The 25,489-nt window shown below is 33.0% G+C and overlaps 1 pseudogene; it reads right to left on the bottom strand.

The window, feature by feature from the left end:
- Positions 1-9,937: 9,937 nt before the first annotated feature.
- LOC124904376 (uncharacterized) lies at positions 9,938-10,040 on the bottom strand (annotated as a pseudogene).
- Between the last annotated feature and the right edge of the window lie 15,449 nt (positions 10,041-25,489).

The following is a 25,489-nucleotide window of genomic DNA, read 5'->3' on the forward strand; positions in this document are numbered from 1 at the left end:
TAAACATACCCTCTCCCTACCACATCCCATGCCTCCCTTATAAGTGTCATTCTATATTGCATCTTAGGTGATGCCTAACATAATTAAACACACATACACACACAGGATCCAAATTTAAATTTTCTCCAAATATTTACTTTATGCTGAACCCTAACAATATTGTATCCTTTCTGTTTCTAATATATTATTCCTCTTTGAGCAAATGTTCTTGCTTTTTTTAAAAAAAAAATTCTGTTAACAATTTGTCTTTTTCTCCCTCCTTGTACGAGGAGATATTTATTCAGGTCAAATGGCCTACATTATAATGCATCAATTTAATTTTGTTTTACTACTCATCATCTGTGATTCAAATAGAATAGAGAAAATATGATAAGCTTAAACTTTTAGCAAAAATGAGAGTATACTTGACAATTCAGACAATGAGTCACAGAAATTGGGGATGAGAATAAAATTGTTCCAGCTGCTGGCATTAAAGTGCAGTGATTTGGTTGCACCATTTTAGCCATCTTTGAATGGTTTCTTACATTCTTCTTTTAAAATACCCTCTAAACTTTGCAAAAGCTGAAAGCACTTCAGCAGCACTGGAAACTATCAGGGTGCAATGTTTTTGGTGTGAATAGAGTGCAGGGTTGCTGTCAGAAAGCGGCAGAACCCACATGCCCAGCTCAGCACCATGAGGGTCTCTAGTTTTCTCCTCTCTCAGTCTATTCCACAGATGTCCCTACTTTGTGTGCTTTCTGTCCTACTTTTAGTTTTTCTTTGCCCTTCAATTCAGAAGAATGTACTTCATTTGGTTGACAGCTTTTATGTCACTACATGAATGGTTTCCATTTTCCACCTTTGCTCTCTATCCCTTTCTGCCAAAGCAATTCTCTCCTCCTCTTCTGACAGGAACTCTGGGCAAGGAAGAAAAAGAATATGAACTACTTCAGCATATACAGCATAAATAGTTGACTTCAGACCCAACGTGTTAAAGATTTTCTACTTGGCTTTGATAGTGGTATGCTTTGTACCAAAATTTCTATATTACTTTTTAATCCTTGAAGCTCAGTATTTTGAGTATTTTTACGGCCATAAATGTATAAATATTATGCAAAGACAGTCAGCTACTAACTGGCTTTTTTAATGGTGTATGGTCTAGAATTGTGCTGTGGTTGTTATAGATCAATTAATTGTTACTTGGGATTTGATATTCTGCCTTTCCAGTACAGAATACTTGATAATAAAAGCATAGTACATTATTCTTAAAAAAATACAGAACAATTTTTCAATGTGCAGAATCTGTTCTTATTTCTAAGGCTTTCCCCATGTCTGCAACAGTGGATTAGATCAGCAGATTTGCAGTAGTGAAGAGTATTCAGAAATATCTGAGAAGGAGCTGACAAGAAAAATATTCGTGATCTTTTCTATTCAATTTCCAGCATTGAAAATTAAAGTTTTGAACAGCACTGTGCAATAGAAATAGTTGAGCCACAGATATGAGCCACATTAAAAAAAAAACAAAAGAACTGATAAAATTAACATTGATGATATCTTTTATTTAGTCCAACATATGCAACGTATTACCATGATCAACATGCCATTAATATCGTAAATGAGATGTTTTTATTTTTTATTTTTGTATTTATTTTACAATTAGTGCAGCTCATCTCTATTTGTACTGGCTGCATTGTAGTTGCTCAATTGCCCTGAGCGGCTAGGGGCTATCATATTGGAAAGCGCAGAAGTAAACTAAGGTAAAGAATATTTGAGTTCTTTAAAAAAAAAAAAAACAGTAATAAACACTTGAGGAATAAAATAAAGTTCAATTTTAATTCTAGTATTTTTCAATGATTTGATTTTGGACAAATTACCTGACTACTTTTTATGAAAAGTTTCCATTTGGTTTTTTATAGAGATTATATTTTCTGTTGAAATATACTCCACTTGTTTATCCAGCATGATTATGTTTTTCTATGTATTCCACAATGTATAAATCTTGTCTATTGTGAAATCCTTCTCTAAAACTCCAACGTCTGGATTTTCTCTGCATCTACTTGCATTGATAGGTTTGTTGTGATTATCAGTCATTTATGCATAAATTTTTCACATTATAATTTTTAAGTTTATGCTGGAGATTATATGTCATAGTACAGCAACTCTGCATTATGTGTTCATCCTCCAAGAACATTAGATTCTGTTCTATTAAGCTATTAAATGAAGAGAGGATCACCCTTTTTCTGTTGATGCTTGGGTTTTAGGCCATTTTAGCACAGATCTCCTTTAACTCCTTAACTTATCCCCATATCGAAAGAGAGCACTTACCACTAAGACATGCTTTTACTTGTAGGAATGGTGTTTCTGGCATCTCAACTGAAGCCTAATGTGTGCACCAACTCTCTCTACTATGATTGGGAAGAAACTTCAACATTTCCTCAGTGAGACCTCTGGAAACTCAGCTCATAGGTTCTCTGCATCTGTTTACTACTTGACCTCTTAGCATCTTGTCCTGCACATGGTCAGCTGAGAAACTGTCACAGGTCCTCAACGACATTTTATGCAGACGCTCGGAGGACTTCTTGGCACTTTCCTCCTTTCTGATATTTTGCCATCCAAATCCCAACCACTTTCACAGCCCCAGACTCTGACCTCTGATTTCTCCTCCCACTCATATTGAGACCTTTGATCTCTGTCTGGCCCTCTTTCTCTGTGCAGCAATTTGAAAAATTCCCCTAGTGAAAAATCCAGGGTTAATGTAAGTCTTACTTCATGCTCTTCCTTTTTCTTAAATATCATAGTGTGGGCTGATGCATTCAAACATGTTTTTATACCTCTTAAAATACATTTTGCTCCAAATTTATAATTGTTTACAGCTGTTGGATGAGTTTGATATCAGCTACTTTGTTTTATTCAGAAACTATTAAGTTCTTGACATCTATTTCTGCCACTCCCTAATAAATCACAAAATTTGATTAAATCTCCTTCTAAATTTAAACTTTCCTTCTGCCTTTTTGTTATTTCTTTGGTCTAAATTATTATCTCTTCCCTAGATTCCTACAATAGCTTTTAATTCATATCTCCACTTCCAGGACATACTCTACATTAAACAGTTGTCTTTTAGAAACACAATTTCTTTCTCTCTCTCTTTCTCTCTTTCTTCCTTTCTCCCTTTCTCTCTCTCTTTCTCTCTCTTTCCTTCTCTCTCTCTTTTTCTCTCTTTCATCTGTATTTTTAGTAGAGATGGGCTTTCTACAAGGTCTGTATTTTTTTAGTAGAGACGGGATTTCACCATGTTGGCCAGGCTGGCCTCAAGTTATCCACTTGCCTCAGCCTCCCAAAGTGCTGGGATTACAGGTGTGAGCCACCATAACTGGCCACAATTTTGTCACTCTCCAAGTGAAAACTATTCAATAGCTTCTCTTTAAACTGAGAATAAATCTTTGAACTCCTTACATTGACCTATAAAATTTTGGATGATGTAAGCTTTCTAAATGCTTTTCTATGCACTATCTGTCCCTGCTCTATGCTTTAGTAGCATTGATATTTTTTTAATTTCCTGAACCTGCAAAGCTTTGCCCATAGCAATGTTTTTGTACAGTCTGTTTTTTATGACCATGACATTGTGTTTGTCATTTTTCCCCTGACTTCTTTCTCTTGCTTTATGTGACAACTTAAATGTTCTTTCAATGAGGCATTTCCTGATCACATAGAACTTTACCCTTAATCTCATAGCATCCTGATCTTTTGATTCACATCACACCAAAGTATGACTTCCCACTTGTGCACAGGTATATGCTCTTATGTAACATCTTTATTTTCTACTAGATATAAACATCATGAGGAGAAGGATCATATCTTTATTTTTTGCCATATTATGCCCAGTGCTTCTTCTTGATATATAGTGTATTAAATACTTATTGGTGTATAAATGTTAAACAATTATATTTGAGTTCATGAAAAACATATTAAATAATATTAAACTTCAGAAAGAAAGTGTTTTAGAAATCAGCATTTGAAGTTTAATGGAGAATCAATAGTTTCAAAGAATTTTAGAAAATTGGAACTGGAAGAAACCACAATCATCAATTTCATGTAATAATCCTTTGGATAACATTGTCTCCACTTAAATCACTCCAGTGTCGAGGAACTCACAATTTCACAAGGAAGCGTATTTTATTCTATTCCTATTATTTAAAAAATGTCTTTCTCATGTTTAATATAATCTAAGCACTATATTGAATTGTTTTACTTATAATCTTATACAATAGTTATCTAAATTTTACAAAAAAATGAAAAAAATTGTGCATATATTAGGTTGGTGCAAACGTAATTGTGTTTTTTTCCATTACTTTTAATGCAGAAACCACAGTTAGGTTTGCACCAACATCATATTTTGTTTCATTTGTCATTTCCTCTGAAATCTAAACACTCAAAAGATATAATTAAAAATTATTATTTTATTTACTTGAATGTTGAAAAATGATACTTCATTTCAGGATCCTTTATCGTAATTGGAATTATTTATGTTATATATTGGATTTGTGTCTTTATCCCTGTGTGTTTTTAATGATCCACATTTGCATGCACTGCAAATAAGAAATTTTGAGTATTAGCCAAAGTTTTAAAAATATAAAATGGATTTTAAAGAACCAAACTTATGAAAAAAGCATGTTAATTAACATTAAGAAAGATGTATTAAACATTTTTGTCCTTATAGTGTTCACATTTTCTCATTAGTTATATTATCATAAAAGAAATGAAAATATATGGATGGATGGATGCATTCAAGTAAATAAAATATCATATTTTGAAGAAGACTCATATGTAATGTGCAAGATTCAGTTTAATTTAGTGTGTGTGTATATAATCATTTAAATATATAAGAGTTGGAAATATATTTATACTCTATATCAGAATTGAAATTATGATCAAATGAGAAAATATATCTGAAATCTTTTTTTAATTTTTAATTTTTTTTCTGTTTCTGAATCATTTTTGTTACCACTATTATTTAGGACATAGAGGTTTGCCTACAGAGTGACCCACTTTTTCCTAGCTATTTTTGGGTACCATATTAGACACTTCTAAAATTGTAATACCTTTTATGGGTGACTTAGAAACCATTAAATGAGTTATTGTTTCAGTGCAATAAGTTACATTTGCAATATTGCTGCCTATGGACCATTATTAATCTTAGAAAATGAAATAGGTGGTCTAATTACCTGTCTAATTCTTTTCAGATTCTGGCTGAATAAAAATATAAACTAAATGATATAAAATGGTGTTTCAAACATTATGTTAAAATCGAATAGGACAAATATTTTTTAAATTTTCATATATAAAGTGATTGCTGACATAAAAATATGTAAGCAATCCTTGTTAAGATGGTACTATAAGATTATTCATTGGTCTTCCTTCCTCTGCTGTAAACTCAGTTAGAGATAAAACCTAGTCGTTGTGCTTGTTGTTTTTAGAGAGAAGGTCTCCTTCTATTGCCCAGGCACAATGCAGTGGCACAATCACAGGTTAATGTAACACTGAACTCCTAAGCTCAAGGGATTCTTCCACCCCAAGCCTCCTGTGAAGCTAGGACTATAAACTTGTGTCACCACAGATGGCTAATTTTTTAAAAGAATTTTTGTAGAAACAGGGTCTTGCTACATTGCCCAAGCTGGTCTAGAATTCCTGGACTCAAGCAATCCTCCAGCCTCAGCCTTCCAAAGTGCTGAGAATACAGGTGTGAGCCCCCGTGTCTGGCCCTAAAATCTATTCTGATAAACTTAATAAGAAACATAGACATGTTTGGTGATACAAAGAGAAGTCTCCATTGACCAGAAACAAGATAGAAATGCACAACAGCAGTAGAGTTGTAGCTGGGGGACTGCCTATCTCTGGATCCAAATACAGACAGTGGGAACTGGGAATACGACTCCTTGAGGGTGAAGAGGATCAAAGTCATCCCTTACAAAGCGGAGTGGAGAGAGGAAGAAAAAACATTAAAGACAATCACAAGATTTCCAAAACTTTTCATCAAATCAAAAGCATGTTGCCAAATTGATCACATAAAAAGAGGGAATGCACCCAAATAAATAACTTTCTAAAATTTTAAACAGAATATAACTAAAATTTTAGTTTACATTTATAAAACGTGAAGATTATGAAAAAGTTTAGGCCACTAAAATTGCAAATTTAAGTGATATTAAAATTTTCTAGAGAACAATTTCTAGTATTTTACAAAAAAGAACCATAATAGAATTATTATTAAATATTTTGCTCATTAATTAAATTCCTTATGCCTCCTTGAAACAAATAAGTCATGTTATAGAGCTGTGTTCTGTTGGTGAATTTTGCCAGAAATTTAAGGAACAGATTTTAAAAAATACTTTAGAGAAGCTCAAAAAAAAAAACAGTTTCCTAACATTTTTATGAGATAGTAAATTATTGAAAGTTAATTAGAATCATATAGCAAAAGAGAATATAGGCTGAGCATGGTGGCTCACACCTGTAATCCCAGTACTTCGGGAGGCCTAAGCGGGTGGATCGCCTGAGCTCAGGAGTTCAAGACCAGCCCGGGCAACACGCCAAAACCCCATCTCAACTAAAAAATACAAAAAATCAGCTGGGCGTGGTGGTGCATGCCTGAGGTCCCAGCAGCTCAGGAGGCTAAGGCAGGAGGATCACTTGAGCATAGGAGGTCCAGGCTGCAGTGATGCGTGGTTTGTGCCACTGTACTCCAGCCTGGGTGACAGGGTAAGACCCTGTGTCAATTTTTTTTAAAAGAAAGACAATAGAATTACAGATTAATCTATAATTATGGGCACAAAAATCCTAAGTGATGGCCCAGGAAAATGGGATCCAGAAATGCTATACAATATTCATCAAATCATACGGTGTTTAGTCTCAGAATTCAAAGAAGTTTCTCTAGCAGAAAATTTAATAATTTACTTCACCACTCCAATTAACTGAGAAAGTTATATGATTATTACTATATGATTATTATAATAAAGTTACATGATTATTATATGATTTTAAAGTGATATTATTAAAAATAATACCGTTTAAAAATAGCGACATGTATTTATGACAAAAGCTAGGAACATAAAAGGACTTCCTTAACCTAGTTTAAATTTCTACTTGAAATGTATAGCAAATATGATTCTTCACAGTGAAGCACAGAAGCACAAAACCTCTAAATGAATTCAGAAACAAACAAAAACAACAGAAAACATTACTACTATCTCTCCTAATCTGTATTATACCTTAGTAAAGCAAAATTGTTTAGTAATAAAGCAAGAAAAAAGGTATAAATGTTGGAAAAAAAGAGACAATTTTACTATTACGTAGTGGTAAAATACATATCCAAGACAATGTATAGAAAAGTTACACAAATGAAAATAATGTGCTTTTTTTTTTTTTGGTAAGAGTTCAACAGACAAGCTAAAAACATAACACCAGTGAGCAACGTGAATCCTCCCCACTAAGATCCACATCTAGGAAAGGAGGTCCCCTCTCACCACTGCTGTTCAACAACATTCTGTAAGCCCTAATGCAATGCAGTAGAATTAGAAAAGTAACTAAAAGGTATACAGATTGGAAAAGATGTAGTAAAATTATCTTTGTTAACAGATGATTGTCTCTGTAGAAAATCCTAAAGAATTGAAAAAAAAAAAACCACTTGCGACTAATGAGCAAGATAGTTTGTAGGATGCAAGGTTAATACAAAAAAATCACGTTTCTATGTATCAGAATGAATAAATGGGATTTGAAATTAGAAACAGAATACCAGTTACATTACCACCCCAAAAAGAAGCACATAGGTAAAATGTAACCAAAGGTATTAAAGGTCTATAATGAGGAAACCTACAAAACTCTGATGAAAGACACCAAATAGCTAAATAAATGGAGAGAGATTCCAGGTTCATTGATAGGAAGACACAGTTATCAATATGTCAGTTCTTTCTAGCTCAGTCTATAGATTCAATGCAATCCCATTCAAAATTCCAGCAAGTTATTTTGTGGATACTGACAAACTAATGATCAAGTTTATATAAAAGGGAAACAGACCCAGAAGAGCCAACACAATATTAAAGGAGAAGAACAAAGTTGGAGGATTGACACTGCCTGACTTCAAGACATACTATGAAATACAGTAAACAAGACAGTGTAGTATTAGTGAAAGTTAAGAAAAATAGATCAATGGAACAGAATAAACATCCCAGAAGGAGGCTCACATAAATATAGGTAATTGATCTTTGACAAAGAAACAAAGACACAAACAATGGAGAACAACAACAAAAAAATATTTTCCACAAATGATGATCCTGGAACAACTGGATACCCACATGCAAAAAAAAAAAAGAAGAAGAAGAAGAATCTTGATACAGACCTTCCAAGCTTCACAAAAATTAACTCAAAATGGATCACAACTGTCAAACACAAAACCCATAAAAGATAATATAGAAGAAAGTCTAGGTGAGCTTGGGTTTGGCTATGACTTTTTAGATGTGACACCGAAAGCACAATTCGTGAAAGACATAACTGATAAGATGGACTTCATTAAAATTAAAAACTTTTGCTCTGTGAAAGACTATGTCAAGGGATGAGAAAGGAAGCCACAGAGTGGGAGAAAATATTTACAGAAGACATATTAATTGCTATTAAAAATATACAAAGAACTCTTAAAACTTAATAAGAACACAACCCAATGAGCCAAAGACCTGAACAGACATATCACCAAAGAAGACATGAAAATGGCAAATAAACATACAAGAAGATGCTTTACATCATATATCATCATGGAATTGCAAAATAAAACAAGAATGAAATACCACTAAATACATATTAAAATGTCCAAAATCAAAAACACCAAATGCTGGCAATGATGTGGAGCAACAAGAACTCTCATTCATTGCTGGTAGGAATGCAAAATGGTACAGCCAATTTGGAAGAAAGTTTGCCAGTTTTTACGAAACTAGATGTATCCTTACCGTATGACCCATTCATTGTACTCTTTTTGCATTAACCCAAAGGAGTTGAAAATATCTGTCCATACACATCTGCAGATGTATTTAAAGCAGTTTTATTCATAATTGCCAAAACTTGAAAGCAGCCAAGATGTCATTCAGTAGGTGAATGAATAAGCCAATTGTGGTACATCCAGATAGTGGAATAGGATTCATCGTTAAAAATGAACTATCAAGCCATGAAAAGACAAGGAAAAAATAAATACATATAACTAAGTGAAAGAAGCCAATCTGAAAAGGATAAGTACTAAAAATTCAAGCTATATGATATTCTGGAAAAGGAAAACCTATGGAGACACTAGAAGGATCAGTAGGTGCCAGGGGTTTAGCCAAAGGGAGAGATGAATAGGCAGAGCACAGAGGACCTTTAGGGCAGTTCAACTGCTCTCTATAATACTATCATGGGGGATACATGTTACTTATATTTGTCCAAACCCATACAACACCAAGAGTGAACCCTCATATAAACTATGAACTCTGGATGAAAATGATCTCTCAGTGTAGGTTTATCAGTTGTAACATATGTGTAATGCCATCTGGTGAGAGATGTTGATAATCGGGGAATCTATGCATGTGTGGGGCCAGAGGCTAGAGAAGATATTACTGTACTTTCCTTTCAATTTTGCCGTGAACCTAAAATTCTTCTGAAAAACATCAATTGAAAAAAAGAAAATAATAATAATCTAAAACCTATGAACAAAAAATTTAGATGTATTTCAATAATTCAAACATATATATGAAATTCTTTTTGAGAAGATTACAACATTTTTGTAGGTCTTGAAAGAAGCCATAAATAAATGAGAAGCTTGCATTTATGGATAATACATTATAATAAGAATGTCATTTCTCCCTAATCTTTAAGTTTACCCAGAATACCAACAGAGATCTGCATAGAATTTGTCAAATTGTACTGAAATTAACATCAAAGACAGCAAAGAGAATAAATTTCAAGAAAGGCTTATGTCTTTTCTGAAATAAGTTTTAAGCTGATAAGAACAGATACTACACTTGATCTTAGCAAAAAGGCTGAGAAGCAATGAAAAATATTTTTAAAAAGAAGGAAACTTCCATATCATCAGATGTCAATAGGCCTTTAAATCTATAATAATTAAGATAATGTATATTGTTGCATAGATAATATGACATGTTTGCTGATATTGTGAAACATTTTATGTCAAATAGCATGTGTTCAACTAAATTCATGAAGAAATAACCTTTGAATTGTAATTTCTATTAATTAACGTCAAGTACATCATTAAATGCCCCTAACATTTTTCTAGGAACTTTTTCCTTCAGATATTTTTATCTAAAGAATTAACACATTTAAAAACATGGTAAGGTGCTGTATGTATGTCTGGTAATTTACATTACTTCTAAAATGGACTAACAACAATATGCAAACCCAAGTACCAATGGTCTCCTTTTTATTTATTTTTTGAGATTACAGTATTTTCACTGTATTTGTAGAATAATAGTTACACATGCACACATATGGGGTATATGTGTATCTGTTATAATATTGTGAGCGCAATGAGTTCAAGGATGTTATTTGTCTTGCTCTTTGCTTTATAACTAACACCTAGATCAATTTCTGGAATATATCATGTGTATAAGAAATAAACATGGAAAAGACAACAATTTTCTTGAATGAAAAATATTTTCCATTAGAAACTAAAGCAGTTTCTTTTCTTTATTTCATTTTTTAAAAGCATTATATCATGGAAGGTGGGCAAGGAATTTTGTGTTGAAAATGTGAAACATAAGTCATTTGGTATAGTTCAACTTTTTAAAAGATATTTTTGGGGAGAAACTGAGTACCAGAAAAAAATTATGGAGTGAAAGCAAGGCAATGTTAACCAAGTGTCAGCGTGCCAATTTTTCTATAGTTGTAAGTCAATAATTCTGTCAGAAATACATCTTGAGATTGAATATATAATATTTACAAGATCTGCAGAAATAGAGCCATTATCTTTGTTATGTTTTTCCTAAGTCATGAATCAAAATGCTGATGTAGTACAAAAACGTATTTAAGTTTAAGAGGCAAGGTGAATAAAGCAATGGGAAAGCTCTGACATTTTAAAGGATAAAATTGCAAGACTGTAAACATTTTAATTTTTCTTGAGGGGTGTGTGTGTGTGTGTGTGTGTCTGTGTATTTGCATTTATTGGAAAATAAATGGTTGACCACTTTTCATGTATGTATTTGCATTTAATATTTTGATTTATATTGTTCCTTAATGAACTTTCATAGTCTTTATCTTATTTTGGTTTGGAGAAGAAAAATTTCAGTATGAATGGGCAAGTTATCTTCTAAGTAATCTATGTATTTCTAAATATTTTTCTTATTTTAATGAATAAGAAGATTATAAAATAGAAAACATTCTATGATTATTTAATTCTTCATGGTACAGAGAAAAAGGAAATTAAAACCAAATTAATCAACTTCCTAAATGAATAATCACATTGTATATTAAATATTATTTAATTGCCATTTTATATTATAACAAAATAACTCACAATCACCATTATTATGGTGGCTGTACTTTTAGTAGAATTTCCTGTACAGCTGCCTAGAGCATTTTTATATGCTCTTTTATCAGACAAACAGAAATACCAACATACATACGTTATTTTAACATATAAAGTTGTCTAATTTGGTGATAAGAATTGAGGTATAGGAGGAGGTGAAAGAGATCTAATGTTTTCTACCCACAGAAATAGATATGTGAAATATATTCAATTAATTTAATATGATAAATATATAGATGGATTAATATAATTATTCAAATAATCATATATGCTCTATTTATGATCTTTAATTATTACTATATTTATTATCATTTTTCATAATATCTTAGCTCAGTGCTAGATTTTTATATAGAATGAAAGAAAGGAGGGCATTTGATCTATTTTAAGGAATATATTTCCATTGTTGTACTCACAGTTATTTCTAAAATAAGAGAAATGGCCTTGAATTCTAAGATGTGTGTCTAGCTCTTCACAATTACCAGATTATGCTAAGTAAAAATTATGCAGAGTAATGGAACATTTAAATTTTATATTTGTTTTCCATTCTAGTGTAAAATAAACCATTTACACCCAAATATACTCTATTACTTTCAAGGAATCTAGAATGTGAATAATTTGTAATCTAATATATTACATAATATTTGTGAACATTTCTTCATTACATTTTGCTAGCATAAAATTAGCTATGATTGCATAAATTTTTATTTCATCTTCCTGATAAATTTACCACATTCTCTGCACTTTGAAAATGCCTTTTATGTGTAGATTTTCATTTCTTCTCACCTTATTTTAATATTTGATATATTTTCCTGCTACCATACCTATGACTGTTCAATAACTCCAATTATAATTTAGATATTTCTTTTAAAGTTGACTTGCTTAGGAGAAAATGCAGATCATGTCAACGAACTAAAATATTTCTCTTCATGGTTTTTATATCGTAAAGTATCTTTATTTTAGTTGTATTTTCATGATTTAACATTAAACGTAGTCATTTGTATGACAGAGGTTTATATTTCTTAGTTTATGTAATCCATAGGCACACAGGAGTCACTGCTTAAGAAACCTGTGATTAGAATATTCATGCAGCTCTTTACTTTTGCAATATTATCTTAACATTGTTATTGCCACGTCTGTCAAGAACACTATAGAACTCTTGCTGTGAAACTTCCTTACATAGTCAGATGTGAGGACAAAAATATTGATTCAATCACGGATGATTTTCTAGTACCACAGCTGATGCTCCTTGTTTACTTATGGTTGTCAAATTTTGATGATTAATCATTTTATGACATATGCAATTGACACACTCAAATAGCAAAAATTAATAGTGACAAGGTATTCAAATTTAAGAAGTGTCTTCCACTTTCAGAAATGCCCATTTTGAAAAATGCTGATATTAAGTAAAAAGAAAGTGGTCTAAGTTATTTAGGTAAATTTGCATGTGTATAAGCAGAAAATTGACAGAGTTTGCATTTTTAACTATAAACATAATAGAAACATCTCAGTGACCCATACAAAATCTAAATTTCCCCTTTCATTGAAAATAATATAAGAACATGAATGCCAATAATTTGTACTATAACTTTTACAAAAGTACACTTTATTTGTATCTTTTCATGGTAAATAAAAATAGCTATATGTATTATAATATTCAGTAACTCGTTTATGTATTATAGAATTTCTGGCTCAGAAACAAAGAATGAAATGTGCTTACGGGAGGGAGAGAGAAAGGGGGGAAGGAAGGGAAGAAGGAAGGAAGGAAGGGAGGGAGGGAAGGAGGGAGAAAGGAAAAGAAAAGAAGTTGCTGAGTTGCTTCTTTAACTTCTTTAAGACATGAAGTGCAGAATTGGAATCCACCTACCCTGCTGAATCTTCTGCTTACATTACATACTTCATTGCATTAAATCCGCTTGAGCTCTACTCTTCACATTTTAGCAATGTCAGCTTTATTTATTAAATTTATTTTTAAAAGTCTATCACCTCTTGGTACATAAAAATAAGTGCCTTCATTTATTGAAGCTATATTGTCAAATATTATTTCTGGTCATGGAATCAAAAATTTAGAGTTTTTCTACAAAATCTAAGATTTAGTGTGTATGTTTTTTATTAAAAATATTAAATTTTTTAAAAGACATCAGAAATGTTGACGCAGCAGTAATAAAATTTACAGGCATAATTTCACAAGCCAAAAAATGCCCACAAATATTTTCAATGAGGGGCTAGCATCTGATGGGTTTTATTTGTACTAATTTGCAAATCTAATTTACAATGGTTAGAATACTAAGGGACTTTATCAAATTAGGATATTAAAACTTTAGATGGTCAATTGATGTTTCTACTTAATTTCCTAAGTTATTTACTAATTGGTCATATATTGGAGAAGCTTAACCTATACAGGGATTAAATATAAACTGCATATGATGGTGTTTTGCTTGTTATTAAAATATTATACTCCATTATTAATATCAAAAATTAGAATCACATTCATCATTTAAGAGAGTTCCAAACTTTCTTGTATTTTAATTTAACCATGGGATGAGATATTTTGGAGACTGAAAGCAGTTATTCACTGAGCTACAGAATGGTTATATCATATTAGGAAAGTCTGAAAATGGGTGATCAAGTATTTCTGAATGATCCACCCTGCAAAATTCCGATATTACCTTTGTCTTTTCTTCTCCTATATACCTGCTAATGCTCAGTTCCAAAGTGTATCTATTTCAACTGACACCGGCACTTGGACCTAATGGTAGACGAGGTCTTTGCCACTATTTAGCCCATTACCAAGGTGGTTACATGGAGCCACCAGCCTTCTCTGCTGGACCGCCCTTCCCAAGTGGCCATCTTCATGCACCTTACGTCTGATTCTGCAGAGAGAATAGAGAATTTCTTGACTTGGCATGCTTTTTGCATTTACAAATCAAATCTCTATTGTCTGCGTGCAGCCGTACCTTCCTTATACCACAATTATATAAAAGTTCCTCTTTAAAACAAATTTATCCTATTTTGTTCTTGATCTTATTTTCTTCAGCTTATCTGGAATCTGAACTTTGTCATAAAAATTATTGTCTCTCTTCATACGTTCTCCAACTTTTTCTTTATACTGGTCCCTTCAGTGTAGGTGATTGCATATACTCAAGTCTTTGAAAGAATTACAAACCCAAATATTGCTAGGCCAATACTGCCTGCTCTTACAATTCTAGTTTTTGTCTTTAACTATTTTTCTTGCAAATTCCTTGGGTTTCATATTCTCAAGTTACTCATTGCTATGTCCAATTCCTCAATTGTCATTTATTTTAACTTAATAAACACTCATAAAATGAATGCTATATGCTCAGCACTATTCTAAGCATTATGTATATATGTATTACATATGTGTATATGTTATCTCAGTCCACCTGTTTTTTAATATCTTGCACAAAATTTTTATTTCTAATTATAAAAGCAATATTTACTTATTCCAGACAAAATTTTAGACCACGTAAAGTAAAACACAAAAGTTATCCACAATCTCAGAAACAAAAACTATTCACTGATAATATTTTGCCCTATTTTGCATGTTTTTGTGATTGCATGTGTGTATACATGTTTATTTTTGTACATATAATGTTGCGTGTGTATTTAAATGATCGTAACAAAGACTTGTATAATACTCTCTGTTACACATTTTTTCTAAGCAAAGACTAACTCATCTAATTTCACCATCAACTTTATACATTTCACAAAGGAGGAGTCTGAAGAAAAAGATTTAGGTAACTTGCTAGGTGACAGAACTAATATTGGCATTTCAGTAGTCTGTCTCCAGAGTTCATAATGTCTACAGTGTATCTTATACAACTTTGTTTTGAACACACACACACACACACACACACCCCCATGGTCTCATAAATATGCTAGATAGTATATACTTATATACTAAATATATGCCGATGTATGTTATATAGTCACAATTTTGATGTCTATGCAGATTTGAGCATTTTTCACCAAAAATGTATTTTTAATATTTTACAAATATTTTAAAACACCATTTAATAGATTCATAATATGTTAAGATATGAATATACTATTTTAAAAATTACTTTCCTATTGTTAAACATTTAGTTTTATCCTTTCAAATTTTAAAATATTATAAGTATTATTGTAATAAACAACCATATTTATATAACTCTGTTCTCATTTCTCATTAACGTAAGAGAAATTCTTAGAAAATGGAAACTGAATTGAAGGTTGGACATGCTAACAAGTCATGGCAGATATTGCCAATTACCAATACTCTCTCAAGAAAAGATAATTTCCTCTGCTTTATGTTAGACCTAGGTCTATCATTTGGCATTCATTAAACAAACAAATGTGTGGTTCCTTTTTCTGTTTCAAACATGGTGCAATTTCTGAAGACAGAGTAGGCATGACAGAAATGGCCACTGAAATTTGCGTGTGATTTTGTCTACTGGAGAGGGTAGTGAAGCAAAAATTAAATGAAAATATAAATAAAATTACATAGTTTTGAGTCCTCAACAGGAAATGTACGGAAAACAGTGCAGAAAATGAGGGGAGTCAAAGGCCGGGCCCGGTGACTCATACCTTTAATCCCAGCACTTCGGAAGGCCATGGTGGGCGGATCACTTGAGTTAAGGAGTTCAACACTGGGCGGTCCAACATGGTGAAATCCCGTCTCTACTAAAAATACAAAAATCAGCCAGACATGGTGGTGCCACCTGTAGTCCCAGCTACTCAGGAGGCTGAGGCAGGAGAATCACTTGAGTGCAGGAGGTGGCGGTTGCAGTGAGCCGAGATCGCGCCACTGCACTCTAGCCTGGGTTACAGAGCGAGACTCTGTCTCAAAAAAGAAAGAAAGAAAAAAAAAAGAAGTAAATGAGGGGACTCGAGTCTACTTGATGGTTAGTATTAATTGTAATAATATAAAGAATCTCATGGCTGAGAACCATAGTTTGACTAGGAAATCTAAATGGCTTCAAAAAACCCTCCCCATGGATCTTTGCTTTGAAAAGAGAAATTTCCAAACATGCGAATAATTTGATAAGTATAGACTACACAGTTAGTCTAGCATCCTGGCGTCACTACTACTCACTACGAATTTTATTTTCCTCTATAAATCACTTAGCTTCACCAAAGACCGAGCTTAAATTTGTTAGGTACTTTCCAATGTCTCTTGCTTTTAATATAGTGTATTTCTTCCCCCTCATTTTCTTACTCTGCTTGGGTTCTTGCCGCAATATTCTACTGCTCTTTATTTTTATACCTTTTCAACACCATGGATGCTTCATGTCCTTGTGGTATTACTCCAAATGATCACTTAAGTTCGACTGCAGAGGACAGGCAGAGCTTGAGATGAGCTTTTGCGGCATGCTGCATGCTCTCTCTTCCCAGGCATTGCCTTAGGGCCAGCTGGATTTGCAGCGATATACTTACATAATTCTGATTTAATTTTTCTTGTGGGAAATTATGCGAGTTCAGGAGCTCTACATTCCTTTACTGAAATAATTATTTTCAAATCCCTGAAAGCATTTACATACTTCAGTGGAGGTAAAACATTCATTGCAGGAGTGGTAAGATGTCCACCACTAAATTTTTTTAAAGTGAGGTCTAATTTTTTTCTTAATATGTTTCTTCTTCTGTAAGGGGAATTGGTGCTTATATTTAGAATCATGAAGCGAGAAACTATTCCCAACACTTATATGCTAAGCTGGAAAAGAACTAGAAATATATGCTTTGTCTGTTTTCTTAGGTATATTATTGCAGTTAGACTTCTGATAGTTTTTTTTATTATAGTTGAAAGTCTGCTCAATGTGTTTAATTTCTTTAGAAGACAAGCTCCCGTCTGCAAGGAAATTATATTGTGTCATGACTGAGCGTGCAGAAATTATTTTTCAGAAAAGGGAGGAAGGCAGGGGAGGGGAAGAGAGAGAACTATAAAAAGTAAAGAATCCAAATATCCAGTATCAAAACAAGGACAGGAATAGTTTGTGGACATCCCATTAGAACACAATATACTATTCATAAGTTTTATAAAGTCACTTACTTTGCCTTCCAGAATCAATCATGTTAGTTACTACTTAAGCCTTTCTTAGTTTTATTTTCCTTTCGTAAATTATATAGTCTTATCAGAAGGACTTAAACACTGTTAAGTGTTTCAAAAGATGCTATTTAGTTATTTTTAAATCCTTATGACATCTGAATAAATGTTTCTTCCATTGAAGGTGAAAACATTTACTGTTTGCCCATAGATAAAAATGGGCAAAATATTGGCATTATTAGATTATATTATTTTTTCTTTTCATTGTTTTTTATTGATTTCTATCCTAGAGAAACAAAACAAACAAACAAAAAAACTGGCTGTCACAAATTATATCCCAATCCCTTTTCCTTTTCATTCTGGAAGATCTTTGAGTCCCACATCTGTATCCTTCCTAAATCCCCAATTTCCTTTTTCTTCTTGGACTTTCAGATTGTAGTATTAGCATGTAAGAGTGATATCAAAAAGACTGTACAATGTCAGTGAAGGCTTAGGTGAAATCAAACTGGTACGTCACTTGACATCTAAAATAGAGATGCTAAATGTGTAGCTTAGTAATTGTGTTTGCATTTCTTCTAGCAAAGTGGCTCCGTTTTAATCTACCATAAATTTGCTGGAGGGCCCCAGGCCCCACTTCTGACTAATAACTTTACTCCTGTCTTTATGATGCATTTGAAAGTTCAAGTAATCGGTTTGTATATACAAGAAGATTATGTTTTGATATGACATATGATTACAGAAAGAGCTAAAATCCAAAGTTAGGCATATTAATCTACAAAATATATTATTATGAATTAATGTATTTAGCAATATCCTTAGGGTTATTTGTGCAAGATTCCATCTGAGAATACTTTCTACCTGGGAATAATAGATTTTTTTTTATCTGTGAGCACATATAAGCTAAAGCTACAGTAAAATTACATTAACTTGATTTATGATGTCCATAAAGAAAAGCATGATATTTCTGTCTACCTAATTACTAATATTGTTGGCTTCTTATACTAATTAATAATCATTTTTATTTTTCTTACTTTAGATGATACCTTCAGCTATACGACTCACCCTTCAAAGTTTGAAAGTGGAATAGTAAAAACTTAAAGGCTGCATTTTCTGATTGTCACCTGGCTCTGTTATTCTCTGTTCTATGGCGTTACTAGCCTCTCAGCTTAACTGCTTGTAGATTATGAGTGTCAAGTAATGTTGCTCTTCTGTGCAAATATTTTCCTCATTTTAGATAAGCTAAGCATTTAGATAAAGTTATTATCAGTTAGTGAGAGTTTTTCTATCTGTATGTTTAATGATTTATATTATTGTCTCAATAATTAACTTTATTGTTATGATTTTATCATTTTCTAGCCTACATTATATAGGGTACCATGGTTCTTTTATTTTTAAATTATTATAGCCTTTTTATCAGTTTGGAAATGCAGATATCCTATACAATTTCATATGGCATATCATGTTTATACAATATTTGAATGATTTTAAACCTGCTCATATTTTGCTTTAAAAGAGGAATACAGTTGAATGTGTTTGGTTGCATATATGTATAACGTTTAACCAATATGTAAATATGGCTTTCATTCCTCTACCTTCCTATGGGATAGCAGGATGCTGAGCTCAGCCAACCCATAGCTGATTTTGGATGTTATGTCCATGTATACTGCCAAATATGAACATAAAGCTCACTATATACTTATAAAATTCTTCTAGAAAAAATATCTATACAGCAAGGCTTAAAAAATGAGTTTCATGCTAAGAATTAAGCCTGGTGACCAAGTTAGTCTTTGGTATGCATTTGATACCTGCCATAGATAGGAGGTGTGCCTCCATCAAGATGGCTCATCAGGTAACAATGCCACTTGGTAGCAGATGTTTAAAAATAGCCAGCCTTAATTAACTGCTTTCATATGCTGTCCACTGTGCTCAGTGGGTTTCATGGGGTGGTGTTATTATCACTATTATGTAGATGAGAAAATCAAGGTTCTTAGATGTTCTGGAATTTGTTCATTTTCACATGATTGGAACATTGTGGTCTTGTCTTTCAAGTCCATGTCTACCATACTCCACAGACCCTTTTCTGTCCACTTTGTCACCTATAATTCTGAACTCCAATATAAAGACTTCACCGTATTTGAAAGAGAATAGTGGGAAGTCTGATGCTCAATTTTGTGTACAGAACAGTTGCCTCTGTGACATTGTAACTGCTGAAATAAGAAAATCCCCTTTTGATTCAGGATATTATTTAATTATTGCAAATCTCCTGGCATAGATCTGATACTCAAGTTAAAAAATTAGGCTCAGGTTCTTACCTATGATTTTGCTTTTTATAGTACTTTGAAACCTACAAAACTTACATTCAACATTTACACATACAAAATTCATACAGTCTTTCAAAACTAAGATTGCGTAATAATTTGATGGCTTGAAATTTTAAGTATTACAATATAAAGAGCAGAGACTTTATGTTTAGGATTAATACTTTTTAATAAATAACATTATCCTTTGCATTATTTCTTGGTGTTTTGTATTTATATCACGTTTATTTTTATTTTTGAAATTTCACATTTCATGTCATTTTTATATGTTATTTGTTTAAAGGTAAGGTTTTAACAAAGGACATTGCATAAAATAAGAACTTAGCAAAAAATATTAAATCATACTCAGTTTAAAATCAATTTATATGTTTTGTTACAGAAAACATTCTGGAAATCAATATATTTTTTTCCCAACGAGAAATTTTTAATTATTATTTATAGAAACTATAAATAACTTTAGTATTTAAAGCATTAACATTTTTAAAGAACATAAACCAGTGATTGGCTTGCTTATTTCAAATCTGATCAGTTGATATTATTTTCTTCAGTAGTATGATAGTAAAATATATACCAACATTCTTTCACACTGGCCAGATACAAATCCTCTCTTGTCTTCCCTATGGCAAAGAGTAACTTGCTATTTTCTGTGCTAATGTGACGTCCTTCTTAATGTTATCAACACACAAACACACACCAAGAAAACACAAAAACATCAACAACAAAAAAAACCCTGTACGTTTGAAAAACTTAATATTTTTAAGCCACTATTTTATACTCACTTCTGCTTGGAAATGTTAAAATGTATTATGAATAAGTTATTTGTAAAATTGAGCCTGGGATTTCACCTAGCTTCTTATTTTATAAGCTGCACAATATTACTTTCAGCACTCTTACTAGTATTCTTAATCAAGACATCTTTAACTTCATTTGTTCTTCCTCCATCAGATAAATAATTAAAATGTGAGGAATGGTGTTATATTTGCATTACATGGAAACATTCAAAAGGTCATATTTCCAAAAAATAAACCTGATAGAATTACAGTCTTTGTGTTCATCAACTCTAAATGATAATAATAAAAACAGTAAAGATTATTCCAATGATCTCTTAATTGTATCAATAATCTCTACTACATTTAGAACATGCAGTAAGCATAGATTTGAGAGTACACACTTGGTATATTACTTACAAGACATGTGACTTTGGGGAAGTTGTTAGTTTTAGCATTTGCTTCACTATAATATGAATATCACGTCTACATCAAATTATTTTGATAGTGAAATAGGTAAAATATATAATATTTAGCATAATTGCTAGGACATTATATTAACTGAAAACACTTTCCTTTGCCATTGGTTATTTTGAGGACAAAAACTGCTTTTATATCTCAGTCAAGAGCTGGTAAAAATATTTGATTGTTTTATGTGGTTACGACGACTAATGTTCTTAAAGGTTTTTACTTTAAAACTAGGCCATATAAATGTATTTTAAAGTATCCATGGTCTCTTATTGAATTTAATTCCATATTTATAAAACAGTATTTCTATTTTAAAATCAACTACCTATGACTATTTAGCCAAACCATTGAATCATTTGTGTTAATTTATTTTTTAATTCTACAGATGGAAGAATTCATATAGAGAGATACATAAAATAGAAGGCTTACTTACATTATATATATATATATATATATATATGAAAGATATGTAAGACTTCTATATCTACAATAGAATCAACATTGTTGATATAAGACACTAAGGAAGTAATATCTAATTAGCATAAGTATTTGGTCGCTAGCTACCATGTGACCTATTATGGCCTTCCACAGAAGAAAACCTACACATATAAAAGAAAATGATTTGAGTTTACCAGGTATATTTTTGCTGTGTCAGCCTACTTAGTGTGATGCCAACTTCTGCTGGTGTTTTTTTTTTCCCTCTAAGGAAAAATATTCCTGAAAAAAATGTTAATAATGTTTAAAGGGAAATAAGAGCCTTAACCCAAATTTAGAAGTTGTGATTAAGAAAGATTTTTCCACAAAAATAAATACATAACAATTAGAAAAAAGGAATGTGAACTTTAAATAAATGCACTGAAATTTCAAAATAAGTTTTAAGCTAAAGAGTTCATTAAGAAATTACTACATGCTGGAAATACAAAAATAAATGAAATTGTTCCTTGCAGAGAAAATGTTCAGGAAAAACTACATAATAAAAGTGATAGCTGGTTGGTCTTCTTTGGAATGAGGAGGTGTCACAGCCAGTTTGTGCCACCATAACAGAACAGACTGCATAATTTATAAAGTACAGAAATTTATGTCTCATAGTTCTAGAAGCTGGGAAACCCAAGATCAAGGCACTGGCTAGTGAGGATCTGGTCTCTCTGTTTCCAAGATGAAACCTCATCCTCCAGAGGCAAAGAGCCTTGTTTCCTCACGTGGGAGAAGGTGGAAGGATGAGAGGGTCAAAATCTCTCGTCAAGTACTTTTTATAAGGGCACCTGATCCCATTCATGACGGAAAAGCCCTCATAGCTTAATCACTGCCTAAAAGCTTCACCTCGTAATATTATCACATTGGAAGTACCTGAATTTTGGAGTAGACTAATTAAAACAATAGCAAGAGGCAATAATTAGGTGATCACGACTGGAGAAAGACATTTGAGACAGAGGAACTACATGCATTTTTTAGAAAGAGCAAGTAGCATCATGGAAAGACCTCGGGCTGAGAAGTCAAAGTAGGCACCTTCTTTGAAGGTTTGCTTACTTGGTTTCCTCATCTACAAAACTGAGTTAATAATAGTTCTCTATGTCACTATTCAGTAAGTAAAACCAATATTGTAAAAATTATCTTGCATTTTAGATGCTATGTCAGATATTTTTTCATGTCATGCAATGTAATAATTTTGAGGTAAATGGCTTAGTGGATTGAAGTGTTCGCTGGAAACTTTATGCCATATGTTTTACTAATCAACACATTTATTCGCTAAAAAACTATTTTCAAAGAGAGGCAAATAGTTTGAAATAAATCTGACCTGCATTTAAGTCCTGACTTCCTCTTTGCTTTTATGACTTGGAGAAGTGATATGTTAAGCTTCAGATGCCTCATCTTAAAAATGAGGAATAATTTGGCCCACTGTCTCCTTTCAATTAACATTAACATTTATGGACTTATATTAATGTACAGTGAAAAAGTTTGCATCAATTTTGTCCCAATTTGCCTATGTGAGCTTGTCTCTGACTCTAATATTCAAAACACAAATAATGAGGACATTTTATCGAAAGACTTGGAAATATGTTGCCTGGGATGACTAGTTCAAAATTACGATAAATAATACCACACTATATTCTAAGCACTTATTTGAAGAATTCAAGGATTTTTCTTTATAGTATATGGGAGATGATATACCGATGTATACAATAACAACACAGCAAACACGAGACAAAATTAGAAGAGACACCACAGAACAACAGACAATTGCATGTCAAATATACGGAATGTGTGTTACAGGAATTTAGAGACAGAATGATACAACATGCAATGAACAAGTTCAGAAAGAATTTATGTGAGAAGGTGAGCTTGCGTCTGCACTTGAGTCAAGAAGTTTTGAACAGGCCAGGCGTGGTGGCTCACGCCTGTAATCCCAGCACTTTGGGAGGCTGAGGCAGGCAGATCATGAGATCAGGAGTTCAAGACTAGCCTGGCCAACATGGTGAAACCCCATCTCTACTAAAAATACAAAAATTAGCTTGGCGTGGTGGCACGTGCCTGTAATCCCAGCTACTCCGGAGGCTGAGGCAGGAGAATTGCTTGAACTGGGACCCGGGAGGCAAGGTGGAGGTTGCAGTGAGCCAACGTCTCACCACTGCACTGCAGCCCAGGCGACAGAGCGAGACTCCATCTCAAAAAACAAAACAAACAAACAAAAAACAGTTTTGAATAAACAAAAAGATGGGGACCATTAGCAAACTCCTGAGGATAATGCTGCACAGGGCATGATAGTAGGACAAGAGATAGTTTCAGTGTGGCCTCAAGGAAATTGTAAGGCATGTGGTTGGGTGGATAGGAAATTGGAAGCAGAAGGTGTACATCATAGGCTATTCTGCTTCTATGTTTGGGCTGGGCATCTCTCCAGAGGATTGCGGGAAGAGAAGGAGAGATACTTCCTCTGAAAATAGGTGGGTTTACAGCTCTGCCTTACCTGGTTGTAAAATGTTATAGTGTTTATTGTCAGTTCTCCTTTCTGATTTGAAAACACTTCCGCACAGGATTATGGAGTAATTTTCTAGCTATCACCAGAAACCACTTTCCTTTTTGTTCAGATATAAAGCTGTAAGGCTGCAAAAATGCAGCCGAGTCCCTATTATCTTTCCTGGAAAGAAAATGAAAATAATATACCAATCTGAAATTAGATTTCAAAAAGAAATAACTGTAACATAACATGATTTTGAAATAAAACTTCTCACAAATGCTTAGAAATCATTGTCCATTTAATGTTATTGCTTGAGAAAAGTGTGCCAATTTCAAGCATAAAACATATATTAAGGTATTCCTTTATGTTTGTCAAAACAAAACCACACCAAAGGTAAGGATTCTGAGGTTTGTTTTTCATGATCTGGCCCCATGTACAGTAAAAAGAACACATGATAAAGTGGCCTTCAGCTTCTTCTATTAAATGTGTTGGAGAGAAGAAAGATGACTGGTGAAGTCTCTCCCAAAGGAACAGTTCAGGAGTCAATTTACTAATCTGGCTGGATGGGAGAAAGAGACAAAGAGACTCCAAGATGCGTGGGAACGAGAACCACATTGTTTTGTCCATCACAGTTTATCCAATACTAGTTACAATGCCTGGCCCATAAGAAAGAGATAATAAATGGAAGAGATGGCACAAGTGCATGAGAAATCATGATCATCCACTGATCTCTAAAAGCATAGTGTCTCAATTAAATATGGAATTTGGTTCATGTGAAATTTTGGTTCACATGAGACTGATCAGATTAAATCTCTTATTTCATGAAAGGAAGAAACGTTTAAAGAGGAGGAACAATGTCGAGTAGGATGCATGATAATTTTCCCCTTAATATACTGTTATACATCAATTTATACCTGGGGAAACACATGCTTAAAAAGATCAAATGATTGCCTAACCTCATGAGATAAAATCTATTATGTGTTCAGAGGGGTGCCTCGCACAAGAAGCCTTCAAAACTGTCATCTAAAAACAAAGTCATTTTATACATCCTGGGGTTTGAGTTCAGGCTTCTTTCTGTCAAAGTCAGCGTTCTCCCATTATCACTGCTACCCCTCCAATGGGAATTCCCTCTCCCACCAATAATCCAAGTATGAATCATATATTTGGATACAAACGCCTCTGGATTGAAGAATGCAAAACTGGCCAGGTGCGGTGGCTCATGCCTGTAATCCCAGCACTTTGGGAGGCCAAGGCGGGTGGATCACAAGGTCAGGAGTTCAAGACCAGCCTAACCAAGATGGTGAAACCTCATCTCTACTAAAAATACAAAAATTAGCCAGCGTGGTGGCGGGTGCCTGTAATCCCAGCTACTCAGGAGGCTGAGGCAGATAATTGCTTGAACCTGGGAGGTGGCGG

Source organism: Homo sapiens, chromosome 18, assembly GCF_000001405.40.
Source record: "Homo sapiens chromosome 18, GRCh38.p14 Primary Assembly".
NCBI classification, from domain to species: Eukaryota; Metazoa; Chordata; class Mammalia; order Primates; family Hominidae; genus Homo; species Homo sapiens.